The sequence below is a fragment of the Homo sapiens genome, chromosome 4, assembly GCF_000001405.40.
Source record: "Homo sapiens chromosome 4, GRCh38.p14 Primary Assembly".
Lineage (NCBI taxonomy): Eukaryota > Metazoa > Chordata > Mammalia > Primates > Hominidae > Homo > Homo sapiens.
In genome coordinates this window covers 62,032,704-62,046,124 of record NC_000004.12, presented here as the reverse complement: position 1 = coordinate 62,046,124, position 13,421 = coordinate 62,032,704, and the positions used below count along the sequence as shown (strand labels likewise).

The following is a 13,421-nucleotide window of genomic DNA, read 5'->3' as shown; positions in this document are numbered from 1 at the left end:
GAACATGCAGTAAATTTTCTTATATATGGAATTGTTTAAAGAATACAGAAAATCAGTCATATGTAAGCAAATTAATCCTAGGTTATGGAGGCGTTTGTAAGTAATTTGTTCTTTATGATTTAAAAGTAATGTCAAAAAGTTAGAATACTCATATTAAAAGAAATTTTCACAAACTAAACATTAAAACTAAATTGAAAAAGATAAGAATACTTGAGAGATATTGTCTAAATTAATATATTCTAGCCAATAAAAACAAACTAATAACGAAACAAAATACCAGGAGGTAGCTCTTTTATTTTAATACGTTTTCTTCGTATTTGGAGGAATATTCTCACTCACTATTCTTACTAATCAAGACAAAGTGATGTAGATAATTTTAAATCATCACTAGTTTATAGTTACTATATTGTTGCCCCAAATAATACATGAAACTCAATTAAGATTATATTAAAACATGGATCCCTGCATCAAATTCAATTTTGACACTGCCCGTTCTAACTTCTTCATATAGATAAGATGAAACTTACTTGAGTACAAATAATTGAGAGTACTAGCATCTGAATCTTTCTGAATCATAAGCCATAATTATTACATTATTTCTTCCTAAGTAGCATAAAATATAACAAAAAACTAACAGAAATAAGGTAAAAACAAAATAATAATTCTAGTTTGGGGATACAAAATAATAATATCGATCATAAAAATACCTTAAATTCATGCAAATGCCTCCTTCCCAGATAAAACTATATTCTAAATATTTCCCATTGCTGACTGTAGTAGCCTCTTGGTCTCCACAAATGTTGCATCTAGTCATTTTTACTGCAGCAAAATGAATTCTAATCATATCCCCACACATACACACACAGAAAGAGAGAGAGGTTGAGAGAGAAAGAGAAAGAGAGACAGAGAAAGGGAGAGAGAGAGAATGCAAAGATCAAGGAAAAAAAGTCAACCACAAACAAAACAATAGATTAAGGGAACGTCATTTCTTCATTTCAAAAATCTAAATGCCACCCAGGGAGCACTGAACCACAAGCACATACACAAAAATCATAATATACCCAAAAGTATCTTTTCTCCTATATTTTTAAATATCCAATATTATCCAGATAAGTCTTTTAGATATTAAGACGTGATTTTTTCCAAGTACACAGGTTGCCTTAAGTATGTATTAGACAGTATACTTTTACTTCCGCAAAGACTATGAAATTGCTTTATATCTAAGACAATGTGGAACTCTATGATGCTTAGCCGACTATACAGCCACATAATTGCCCATTTTCACTGCTTCCAATGAGGCCTGACAGCTCTCCAGTTTATAGCAGCAGCAGATGACTAGGAAAAAAAGTTTTTTATTTTCTAATTTCCTTTTGGAAAAGACTTCTGGAAAATTCAGGATTTTTTTAAAGTAGCTTATGAATAATGGAACACATTGCTACACTCAACCAAGTTTTATGTTCTTACAATGTTTCTATCATGTGGAACAGGTTCAGAAGTTGCAAATAAAGCAATGAATTTAAGGACTTCTTAAAGTAATCAGAAAAGTAATAAATATGAAAAATTATTTCTAATTACCTCTGTTGAGTGACGCTGAACTGTTTATGTCTCCAGTAATAAAGGAAGACTCTGACTGCTTTCGAACCGTGTCATTCCACATTCTACGGATTCGGCTCTGGGTGGGGGAAAAGGCAGAAAGAAAATGAACTCATGATGCAGTGAATTTTCACACAAATCATTCTTTTCTTTTCTGTCATAATTATATGAGACCTTTGTTTCTAGCATTTGGCAAATAGACAACTACATGTTTGCAGTACAGTAGCATGAGAACATCAGAAATAACTTTCATGATAATATATGGTTCTCATTAACTGTATTCCTAAATGCCTATATACCAAAGATAATTATAACCATGAAAAAAGAAATAAATGTAAAGTACTATACCAATTTAAATATGTTGAATATATACAGAGGTATATATCTTCAGACAGAATTAGAAAATTTTAATTTCCAAGGTAAAACAAATTATTTTTACTATAACTTTTATTGGAATGGGAATGTTTAACTATGCATTAAATTGCCAGTTCTAACAAAAGATTTAGTTTAAGAAATCAGAATCTTGCAAAAGAGTTTGCTAAGAAAAGAAAATAGAACATTATTAAAATGCTACTGAACTTAAATTTTCCATAACTTTTAGAGGAAGATCAATGTAATTTTAGGGATTACATAACTATCCTGACTTTTCTTTCTTTGAAGAAGATAAAGTTAGTTGATTCATTGCTTCCATAGGAAGTTTTACAGGTAACTAAAAATTCTCAAATTATTATTGACATTCTTAAATTCAAATTTCTAAGGGTCAGATATTATAAACTTTTTCCATTGGGGGATTTTTTTCTTTTTTATTCTGTTATATCAGTTTACTGAGTTATGGGTCAAAAAAGTATTAACAATCTTGTGAGGAAGAAACAAAATATTTTCAGAAGTTTTTCCAAGGCTGAAATAGTTATAAGAAACATTGCTACTACTTATGAAACCATGCCTACAATGGGTTATGTTCCAAATACATTTGAACTCCTTGAATAATGGGAGTAATCAATCTTAGAATATTAGACAAGTGATTTTATGAATCTTGGAACATGCTTATTCTTCAGAAATATTGTTGTATATCACATTTTCCCTAGGTTGACAAATGTGTGCATGCACACACACACAGACACAGACATAGACAGAAAACTAATAAACGAAAGGACAATGTTGGGAGCCAGTCTCTCACATTTGTTTTATTAGTTGGTTAATTAATTAATTAAAAATATTAATTACCCTCTATTGCCTGCCAAATACTAACTTATAAGATACAAATGTGAAATGTAAGCACAAAATGTCTTGACCCTTATGGAGATGTTAAACTAGGAACAGATTAGTCAAATTATCACAAAAATAAATGCAAAAGTACAATATGCCCACAAATCTCCATACAGTCATTAAATATTATAGCTGAAATATGATCAACCAAAATGACTGTCAATGGTAGGATGGATGAATAAACTATACAATAATATAAAACAAAGAAAATTAAAAGCTCATAGCCTCCTGCAGTAATGTAGATGTCTTGGGAACAAAGGAAAACATAAAAGAGTATGTACTAAATGATTTCAGGTGAGTAAGTATCAAAATATGCAAACTAAAATGTGCTATTGAAAGCTAAGATAGTGGTTATGTTTGGAGCTTAATGATTGAGAGGGGTTCAAAGGGTTTCCAAGGTATTCTCAGTATACTAATACTTGGCCTGGGAAGTGGTAATAATTAATTGTGCCATACACTTATGTTTTGTATACTTTTGTGACTATTCATTATACTACAGAATTTTTAAAGATTTTTACCAATTATACCATTTATTTTTACCATATATTAAGGGATATGTCCTTGTCTAGGGAGTCTGAGAACAATGCAGACTGAGGAAGTAACATTTTATCTAGGAGTTGATGAAGTTATTATTGTTAGGTGATATTTATATGAGCTGTCCCCATTATCTCATCTCCTATTAATCTCCCCTGTCTGCTCTAATTGCACCTGTCCCCTTGCTGTTCTCTAACATGCCAGGCATGTTTGTGCTTCAGAGGTTGGCAATGCTGGTTGTTTTCTCTGTCTGGGGTGCTCTTCTCCAGATACAGGTATGCATAATTCCTTTATTCTTTTAAATATAAAATATTTTTTTTTCTGAAGGTATAACACCCTACTTAGAACTGTAGGCTACCCACACAATCCAATCACATCTCAGTCCCTTTTCCCCTACTACATTCCCCCAACAGTCACTAACATCTCCTATAATACCATGTATTATATAATTATTTCTTACATTTATATTTAATAGCTATCCATTTAATGTCTAATATTTAATGTCTTATGTCTGCATTAGGCTTGAGGCTCTATGAAAACAGAATTTTTGTCTTTTTTGTTCATTGAGGTACATATACTTGGCATATACATACATAGTGTATGTATATTATATATGTGCATGTGTGTGCATATACATCTATATAAATTAATTTTTTCTATGCTCTCTTTTCCATACTATATACCTTTCCTATATTCACCCATCAAAACCTCACAAGAACTCCATGAGGTAGGTAATACTATACACTAGAAAAACCGAAGCACAGTGGTTAATGAACATGTCTGATGGCACAGACCTTATAACCAGCATTGGAATGCAGTCATCTGGCTCCTGAGTGCAGGAGGTTAACAACTCACTGCACTATACCAAATATAGTTTAAGAGGAAAAGGAGAAAAAGGAGAAGTATTGCAGGCAGAGGAAAAAGTATATAGTATATTGCACAGAGGCCACACTTATAACCAGGAAGGGTTTTAGAATATGGGAGTGAAAAACCCAAGTCAGAGAAGACTACACACAAAAAATACCATTTTTAAACAAAGGTTTAATAAAGGAATGCTGAACAAGATTTTTTGGAAGGAGAGAAATGATTAGAATAAGTTGCGGGAATGGAAAAACAAAATTTAGGAGCCTTTCTGGAGGAAGGCATAGGGATTGGTTACGGAGGTTAAATAAAGAGGAAAACATATTGAAAATGTTCTATTTCCTAGGTTGGATGTTGAGTTCACAGGTGTTCATCTTATTAAAATGTTTCAATATTTCATATACATATTTCACTTTTTTATTTTTCAAATATTATATAATAAAAAGCAAATATATCTAAAAATCAATAAAATATATGAAAGATAAATGACAAAACAATTACGAGAAAGTCAAAAGATATTATTTCAGTCCATAGTTTAAAAAAAGTTACACCCATTTCTGTGAATATATGTTTGTGTGACTGATGCATATTATAAAACTTTTATAAGTGATTAGGACCAGGAAGTAAGTTTGGAGGAGCAAGAGGTGAAGAGGATTTTTACGTTTTAGTCTTGGCCATCATCCCCTGCATTATCTACAATGTAGCAACATAATGTTTACTACATGCAGATTATATCCTGTCACTTTCATTTCTAAAGTATCTCACTGGCTATCCAAAGTAATCAAAATAAAATGTAATTTTCATACTGTTACAAATACCTAGGGATCTGTCTCTTCCCTTTTTCCTTGACTTTCTATCTCATTCTCCCTCTAACCTACTTTGGCCAATATTTTTTGTAAGTTCTCCAAACTGTAAAGGCTTTGCATTAGCCATTTTCTCACTTAGAATTCTGTTTCCCTGAATTTCCTTTTCTCCTTTCATTTAGAATCTTGTAACTCAGACTTTGGCATAAGTATCACTTCCAAAGGTAGTCTTTCTCCAGCATTTAATCCAAGTAGCCACCTGGCTAATTGACATCATCATATTTTTGTTCTCCGTCAGCTCTCCCATTTGATATTTTTGTTGGGTTGTTTGTTATTAATACGTTTTCTGTCTCCCAACGCTAGAATAAAAGTTCCAGATCACAGGGGAAGTTATATGTCTTTTAACCATTTTATCCCCAGAGATTAGAAGATTGATGGCATTATATAGGAGGCACTCAATATTTCTAAATAAAAAATCATAATATATAGAGATAGTTATTTTAGAAGTGCTCTTATGTGAAAGATGCATCCATACTCCCCAAATTTTGTCTTAATATCAATATTTTAGCATTTGCTTATGGGTGGCCATAATTAGTGGGAAATGTATTTATTAGTCTTACCTAAACAAATAATATAGATTTAAGTAACTATAACCTTACATAGGCTTGGCTGGTCATAGTTAATCAGAATTAGTATTATATTAAGTATAAGAAAAAATGTAAATTATTTTCCAAGAGTAGAATTGTGATATTACAAATTACAAGAGTAAGGAGAAAAATATGATACAACTTAAAAATATATATAATAATATTCTGTAATAACAACAGTAATAAATGGTAGCAACCACCGTTTATTGAGCACCCACTATTTATTCTGTTTTGTGTATATTACTTCAATCTTCTTAGCAACTTAAGATGTCAGTATTTATTATCACCATTTTACAGATGGAAAAACTGAGTGTCAATGAAATTAGTAACTTGTTCTGTGTCATAGCTGGTACGTGGCAAGGCCAGGATTCAAAACAAGGTATACCCACCCACAGAGTTTATTATTATTCCATTGAGCTGCACTGCCTTAACTTGTAGTTTAGAAGTATTGCTAAACATTGCACAACTCTGTCGTAAAGTAGTAAATGAGACTCCTAAATATTATTATAATATTAATGACATATGTCAATAAAATGACTATCGGATGGTAGCTGATGAACTCAGTAATGTGAAAAGCATGCGGGATCTAATCATGCTGGATGATATAGGGAATCTTAGCAATATCAATTGAAAAGTCGTGGAAAAAGTTATTACAAAAAGAGGAAGAGCAAGGGATTATGAGTCTGAAAATAAAGGCATTAATTATAAAAGGGGCTCATGCTATAAGCATCATCCTGGTCTGCCCCCACTCTTATGTGAAAATTCAGATCTCTGTTTGGCAAATTTAGTAGTCCTAAACTCAGAAATTTCCATCCATCTGAGTTGGGACAATTGTTCTTCTGATTTGCAACTTTACAACCTCAGTGTGGTGTGTAAAAAATAAATCAAATTCAGATTATTAATAATCATGCAATTATATTTAAGTTTCATGATTGTGGTTAGTAAAATTATTTAACATAGCCTGATATTTTTGACAGTTATATGTTAGTTTTTAAAATTTTAATTGGAAATATTAGATTGATATTAAAGACATGGTTTTATTTGTAAGATTAAAACTCAATTGGTGAGGAAATTGTTTATGAAAACACTGGTCATCCATTAATTTATAACTGTGTTCAAGTGCTAGCTAGGTGTGTATGACTAGTCTGACAGTTGATGTGTTTGAGACAATCAGATATATTAAATTTATAAATGATATTTGAAAGGTATAAAGAAATTAAATTTTCTAAGCATATAAATGAAATTATTTAGGGAAATTTAAACTATTAAGCTTACAAGCCAATTGAACATCCATCAAATAAAAAATGAAGCAATCACTCTTATTTTATATAAAATAACCAAATTTATGAAACAATAATTAGATATATAGGTTGAGCTAAAAGAGTTAAGAAAAATTAATTCTTGATTTATAAGTTTATTTATCAATTTAAACTCAAGGCTTCCTCAGAAAAAATTAATTGGCAACACTGAAAACATGCTTTTTTTTTCTACTGAATCATGCAATCTTAAAAACACTAGTCTGGGTGACTCACAACTATAATTCCAGCACTTTGGGAGGTCAAGGCAGGTGGATCACTTGAGGCCAGGAATTTGAGACCAGGCTAGCCAACATGGCAAAACACCATCTCTACAAAAAACACAAAAATTATCTGGGCGTGGTGGCACACGCCTGTGGTCCCAGCTACTCGGGAGGCTGGAGGCTGACGTGGGAAGATTGCTCGAACCCAGGGGGAAGGGGTTTCAGTGAGCTGAGATTGTACCACTGCACTCCAGCCTGGGCAACAGAGTGAGACTCTGTCTCAAAAAACAAACAAATAATACTAGTTTGCTAGCTTGAACCAAACGCACTCATGACCTACACCACTCTATGTCTTTTATTTGACTGGCTCATCTTAACATCCAAGAGTTGCTAAAATTTCTATGTAATAATCTTTGAGCTGATACTGTGCCCTGGGAAAAATGGCACACAGTTTACCTAAAAGCTTAAAATTTTTCTGGTAAGGTACTATACTGCTACGTCTAGTGCTGGGCGAATGGGAGTGGAGCTTAGACCAGGTATGTTAATAATGCTGTTGTAGTATTCTTCACTGCCCTGACTTTTCTTCAACTTCTCAGCACATAATATAGTTGAGTCATAGTTATTTTTACTAAACATACCATATTATATGTAAATTGTGTCAGTTTGTGATAATTATTATACTAGTTAGAAGAATTATAAGAATTAGAATCATATCAATATATCACATTTCTATATATATGAAATGTTACTTTCTTAGAATTTTGGGTGAAACGGCAAATTCCTTTCTTTACCTGCTGCATTTATTGAACTGAAAACAATCTGAAGTCATTATTATGCAAACTTCAAATTTGCAGACTCAAATTTCATCATATTATTACAGTTTTAGTTTCTTCCATTTCTGTCAGAATCATTCCCATGTGAGACACAGTGAAACAACAAAAACAAACGATGTGTTAAACACAGGCTAGAAATTAGCTCCAATCATAAGGGACAGTAACTGGTATAGTTAAGAATTACTTCATTTCAGTGAACAAATATTGTTTACCTGTGAGCCTGTGGAGTAGCGTCCAGGAGTTCGAGAACCAGATGTTTTCCCTGAACCAATGGAACTCTCTGTACTTTTGCCACTACAGCAATGTGTTCGCAGGCATTTCCCATACTCTTTTCGTACCTAGCCAATTAAATATTAACTTCTGTTAGCAAGTAATTCATTGCAGGTAGGAACAAAAGTAGACAATGTATGTGAGTTTTATTTTTAGATAATGTAATTATTTCCTTGCCCTACAGATGTAAGAAAGTCTGTTCAGCATATATTTTACAATACAACATAATTATATTCATACTGTCAAGCTTGAAATTTTGCCTAACTGGAGCCTTTTAAAACACACACACACACACTTATACACACACATTCACACACCTCCCATCACATCATAGTGGTACTTTCTCTTAGTTCCAAGAACATATACTTAAGCCCATTGAAGATACTATTTTTAGCTTCATAAATTTGATATAAAGTAGCCTGTTGGTGCAAGGGCATTGTAGCTGTTGTTCTTTAGGTAGAAGCCTACTTAGGAAGTTACAGAGACTGGGGTGGAGGAAGTAGGGTAAGAAGTGGGGGAGAGAGAAAGAGAGAGAGAGAGAAATATCAGAGAAAGTGAGGAAGCAGAGAAAAGATATTTAAAGACAGAAAATATGAATATGTTGGGCTAATCATTTCTTCTAAGTCTATATTTCTCTGAAGTTTATTTCTCTTAAAAGAGATCAAACGTTCAAATTGAGAACAAAAATTCAAAAGATTGTAAATTTTGTCCTTCAAAATAGTTCTACTCAATAATCACAGAGAAATATAATTACTTTATAGCATTCTTGATTAAATACTTAATCTTGGTTGTAGTATAAAATTACAGGGAAAAAGAAGAGTTTTAGCTGATGTTTTCAAGCAGAGAAATATATCAACTTTTGGTAAAAATTTTATCATGTCTAAAATTTTTATTACCGCCTATTTAATTGAACAAGGCATATAAAAATAAACAGTAACTGCCTTAAATCACATATCTATTACCAATAACAACAAAGGGACATCTTATTATATCAATTATATGTTCAGGAATTTATATTATGAAACAACATCATGTATATAAACTATTCTTAAGCCTTTATGTATTTGATTTCGCATTAGTGCATTTTTTCCCACAACTTATGATAATGTAATATTCAAATAAGATTTTATTTAAATCAAAGTTTTGAACATGTGCTTTAAAAAGGGATGTTATTTAGAATCAAAAGCAAAAAAGGTATGTAAATGATACATTAAATTTAGTATTCCAAATGGGAACATTTCATCTTATTATTGTAAAATTCATTGTGTCAAAGATATAGGAGAATTAAAGACAGAACATATACAGATTTGCTTAAAGAACTCACATTTATTGAGTGCTTATTATGTGATAAGAAAAATGATAGAGATAGGGTCAGGTGACTCAAGCATAGAAGAGGAGTGCCTGCGGGAAGTAGGTGTGGGAGGCCAAGAACGGCTTCTTGGGGAAGAGGGCTTCCCAGAAAGTCTTCAAAAGAGTGGCTGGAATTAATTTACAGAGTGAAGTTGAAATAAAGGACAGGGGAAAAGAGGAGAAAAAGGCATTCTCACCATAAAGAATAGAATGAAAAAACAGGGTTATGATGTGCTGGTCTTTAAGGCCTTTCTCTGCTCTGGTATGGCAAAATTACTTATTTTTAATGTATTTAAAATGCTATTGATTTGTTTTGCAACCAGTCTCTTCTGTGCTACATTTATCAATGATTAGAATTAGAGATAATTATTTTTGTTTAGTGTTTACAAGTCAGTCCATATTTTGTGTATTTTAAAAAAAGAAATCGAGCTGTAGCCAGTTATGTGTGTTTCTAAGATGCATCTGTAGGGAGGGTGAAAAGAAGAAACTTCTACTTTTTAACTATTATGTGTCAGGAATTGTGCTAGGTATGTCCCTCAAAATGACTCTGAAAATAACTATTACCTTCATTTTATAGATAAGGAGATTGAAATGGGTTAAGCAATGAGAGTAAACTACAAGACTGAAAAGTCAAGCGATGTGCCTTAGGAGAAAAATCTAAATTTCATGGGTGCTCTATGATCAAAAAGCTCTAAGATGCCACATTTGGAACATGAAATCACTGACCAGCACAGGCATTGTATATTACTAATATTATCATTAAAGTAATCTATTAATTATCTCCTTCTTTGTGTCTGGAAAGAATGAGGACAAATGCTTTAATTAGAACTTGAGAAGGCTTAAAATAATCTCTAACCAAAAGTAAGCATTATCAATGATAGTTTAGTAATTTCTACTGATTTATGAAGCATCTCTAAGAACCTAAACTTTGATCATAACTTCCCCCTGCAACATCCCGCATTATTTTCCTGAGGTACACAGCAAAATGGTATATTTCCTTCTAGATGAGAAAGGGTATTTGAATGAAGTGATGTAAACCTAAACAAATATTTCAGTAAAATGAGGAATAAAGGCAAAGAAGAGAGAAAGAGAACCACTCTCCCTCCTGTTACAAAATCAGCAATATTGTTTAAGCCACAATAATTCATCGTGGGCTATTTGCATTTTCCAACAAAGATTAAATGTTCTGAACCGATAATATAAACAACCAGAAAATCAAGATATTTGGTGATGCCAAGTCTCGCATTAGCTACATTACTTACTGAATCATTATACTGACTTTATTTTGCTGTGATTTGATTTGAAATGGTAAGCATATGTCTTAAAAAGAAGAAAAAAAATAACATGGACCATGTCCAGGAAACATTTTTTAGATTACAAAAAAGCAGTTATTTGATTGTTCAATCATTTGCATATTCTAATCTACTATTTCACATGGCACTGCATCTTAGTTACCCTAGTCAGATGATATCCTATTTTAGTGTGATGCTGTTCTAGAATATAGAAGACAGGAAAGAGAATATACCTTACCAGTAAAATATTTCTGATATTTCTCATATCAGAAATAAAATGATTGTGGAAGCTCTGGGAATATATCAAATATTTGAATGTATGACAAAAGTAAAAGTGACCACTTTAATGTGACCAGTGGAAAACTGTTTACACAATCCATACTCAGAAAAAGACTGAGATACAAAAATTTTAATTTTATGAGTAAGTTGAAACATTCGACAAATAATTCAATAAGACAGCAATTTTCAAATATGAAATATTTCATATTTCTCTAATCAAAATATATAAGCAACTATACCAGTGATGGCATATTAGTGAAATTTAATCAGATGGCTTAAAAGAAAAAGTACCTCCTAACCATTTCTTCAGTTTCAAAGACAAGTACACGACAGTTTTTATACAAAATAAAAACCAAAAATAATTATACGTTTTCTGTATTTTCTGATGTTGGCCCATATTCTTGACACCAAATACAAATGTGACCAAAGTTTTAAAATTCAAAACACAGAATGGATGAAAGAACAATATGTATTACTTGTTATTGTAAATCATGAAAATAAGCGTTCAAAATTAGGGCCTGGCAAGTTTTTCTATAAGGTCCAGATAGTTAAAATTTTAAGTTTTTTGACTCAGGAGCCAAAATTAAGGATAGGGTGTATATACTTATTTTAAACTTTATGTATTGAAAATGTAGTAACCATTCCTGACTTCCTGGCTGTAAAAATAAAAGGCAGCTGGATGAATTTGGCTCATGAGCCACAGTTTCCGGAACTCTGTTTTAATGAATCACAAAATTGAACTTGATGACATATATATTTTAAAATTTAACTTATGTTAAATATACTAAAAACTCTAAATTTGTTTGAGGGTCTTGAGATGTAAAATCTCTACCTGGGTACCAAATGCAATTCTTACTTATTCCAGTGATATGCTTATGTTAAGACACGAAAAATTAAAATAACATTTTTATTAATATTGGGAAAACTGAAAGAGGCATTGGCTAATAAAAAAATACTCAAAGCAAAAGAATGTGTGTAAAGTACAAAAATTTCTTTTCTGCTTTGTAGAAAATTTCCAAATTAACTTTAACATTTAAAAATTACTTCTTAATGAGTTAGTAAAAAAATTTAAATAAAATTTAAAAATTATGTTGGTCCAAATTTCCAGCTAATGTACAAAATAAAGACGACAGGCAAATAAATCTACTATACTTCAGTATGTTATGACTGATCATAATGACCTAATATATTCCCTTTTTATCATGGGCAAATGCTACCATTTTCCTTAATCTCCTGATTTTGCTCACATTTTTTGCATCTATTTCTCTTGAGCATCAGTTATGGCTTTCTTCTATCCAAATCTAGACATCTTCCTCAAGTTTTAGTCTCTCTGACTTCTCTGAAGTCTTTTAGAATACCAACCACTGACTTCTTCTTGACATTTTCTCCTATCTTTAATTCAGTGTATCATCTTGATTCTCGTTCTTCCTTACAGCTCTATTCTCACTCACCATTTACATGTCTCCTATTCTTTAAATACATTAAGTGTGGCAGACTGCCATCTCTTCACCATATCCAATTTCTTCTCTTTCTGACTAAAAAAGCTATACTATGTTTTTCTGTCTCCCTTGCAGTTTAGGTGGTACCATCGATAGAACCCTATCTGATAAAAAAAAACAAAATGAGTAGAAGCCATGTGAACCACTTTCAAACCACAAAATCATCTCTCTCTCTCCCAGACTTCCTGTTGGATGTCAAAACCCAAGAGGACTATAATATCATAGATTGAGGTTGTTTGAATCTTCATCAGCCTATGTCCCTTCATGGGGCAACCCCATCCATTGGGCAATGAGTAAAACATAAACATATGTTTAGGCAGGCTTCTGTAATTTGGGGGGTGTACATATTAATTATTTGGAGGGTTCATCTATTTTATTTTGTTTTTATTTTTTTAAATATCCTGTTATAGCAGGATTCATCTATTTTAAAACAACCTCTTTTTAAGAATTCTAATGAATTAGATTAGAATGCATCCATTCTAATGTAACCTCTTTTCTTTTCTGTAACCTACATTTAGAAACCTGACTCATCTTTACTACTCTATTCTGTATTTGCGATCATGTCAACACATTTTAGTTATCTACCACCATCTAAAATTGAAAAAAGAGTAGTGTTTTCTTTTATGTTTGTCCATCTTCACAAGTGGACACTCTTTTCAACTTCTTGTTTTGGTC

At 31.9% G+C, this 13,421-nt stretch overlaps 1 protein-coding gene across 59 annotated transcripts in view; it reads right to left on the bottom strand.

Moving 5' to 3' along the window:
• The window catches only part of ADGRL3 (adhesion G protein-coupled receptor L3), an 878,010-nt gene that overhangs the window by 32,211 nt on the left and 832,378 nt on the right, over nucleotides 1-13,421 (bottom strand). For all 59 annotated transcript variants that reach the window (NM_001387552.1, NM_001322402.3, NM_001387522.1 and 56 more), the window contains 2 exons: nucleotides 8,269-8,394; nucleotides 1,576-1,672 (listed from right to left, as the gene is read on the bottom strand). In NM_001387552.1, coding sequence (NP_001374481.1) covers nucleotides 1,576-1,672; nucleotides 8,269-8,394 — 223 coding nt within the window. The remainder of the gene's footprint in view (nucleotides 1-1,575; nucleotides 1,673-8,268; nucleotides 8,395-13,421) is intronic.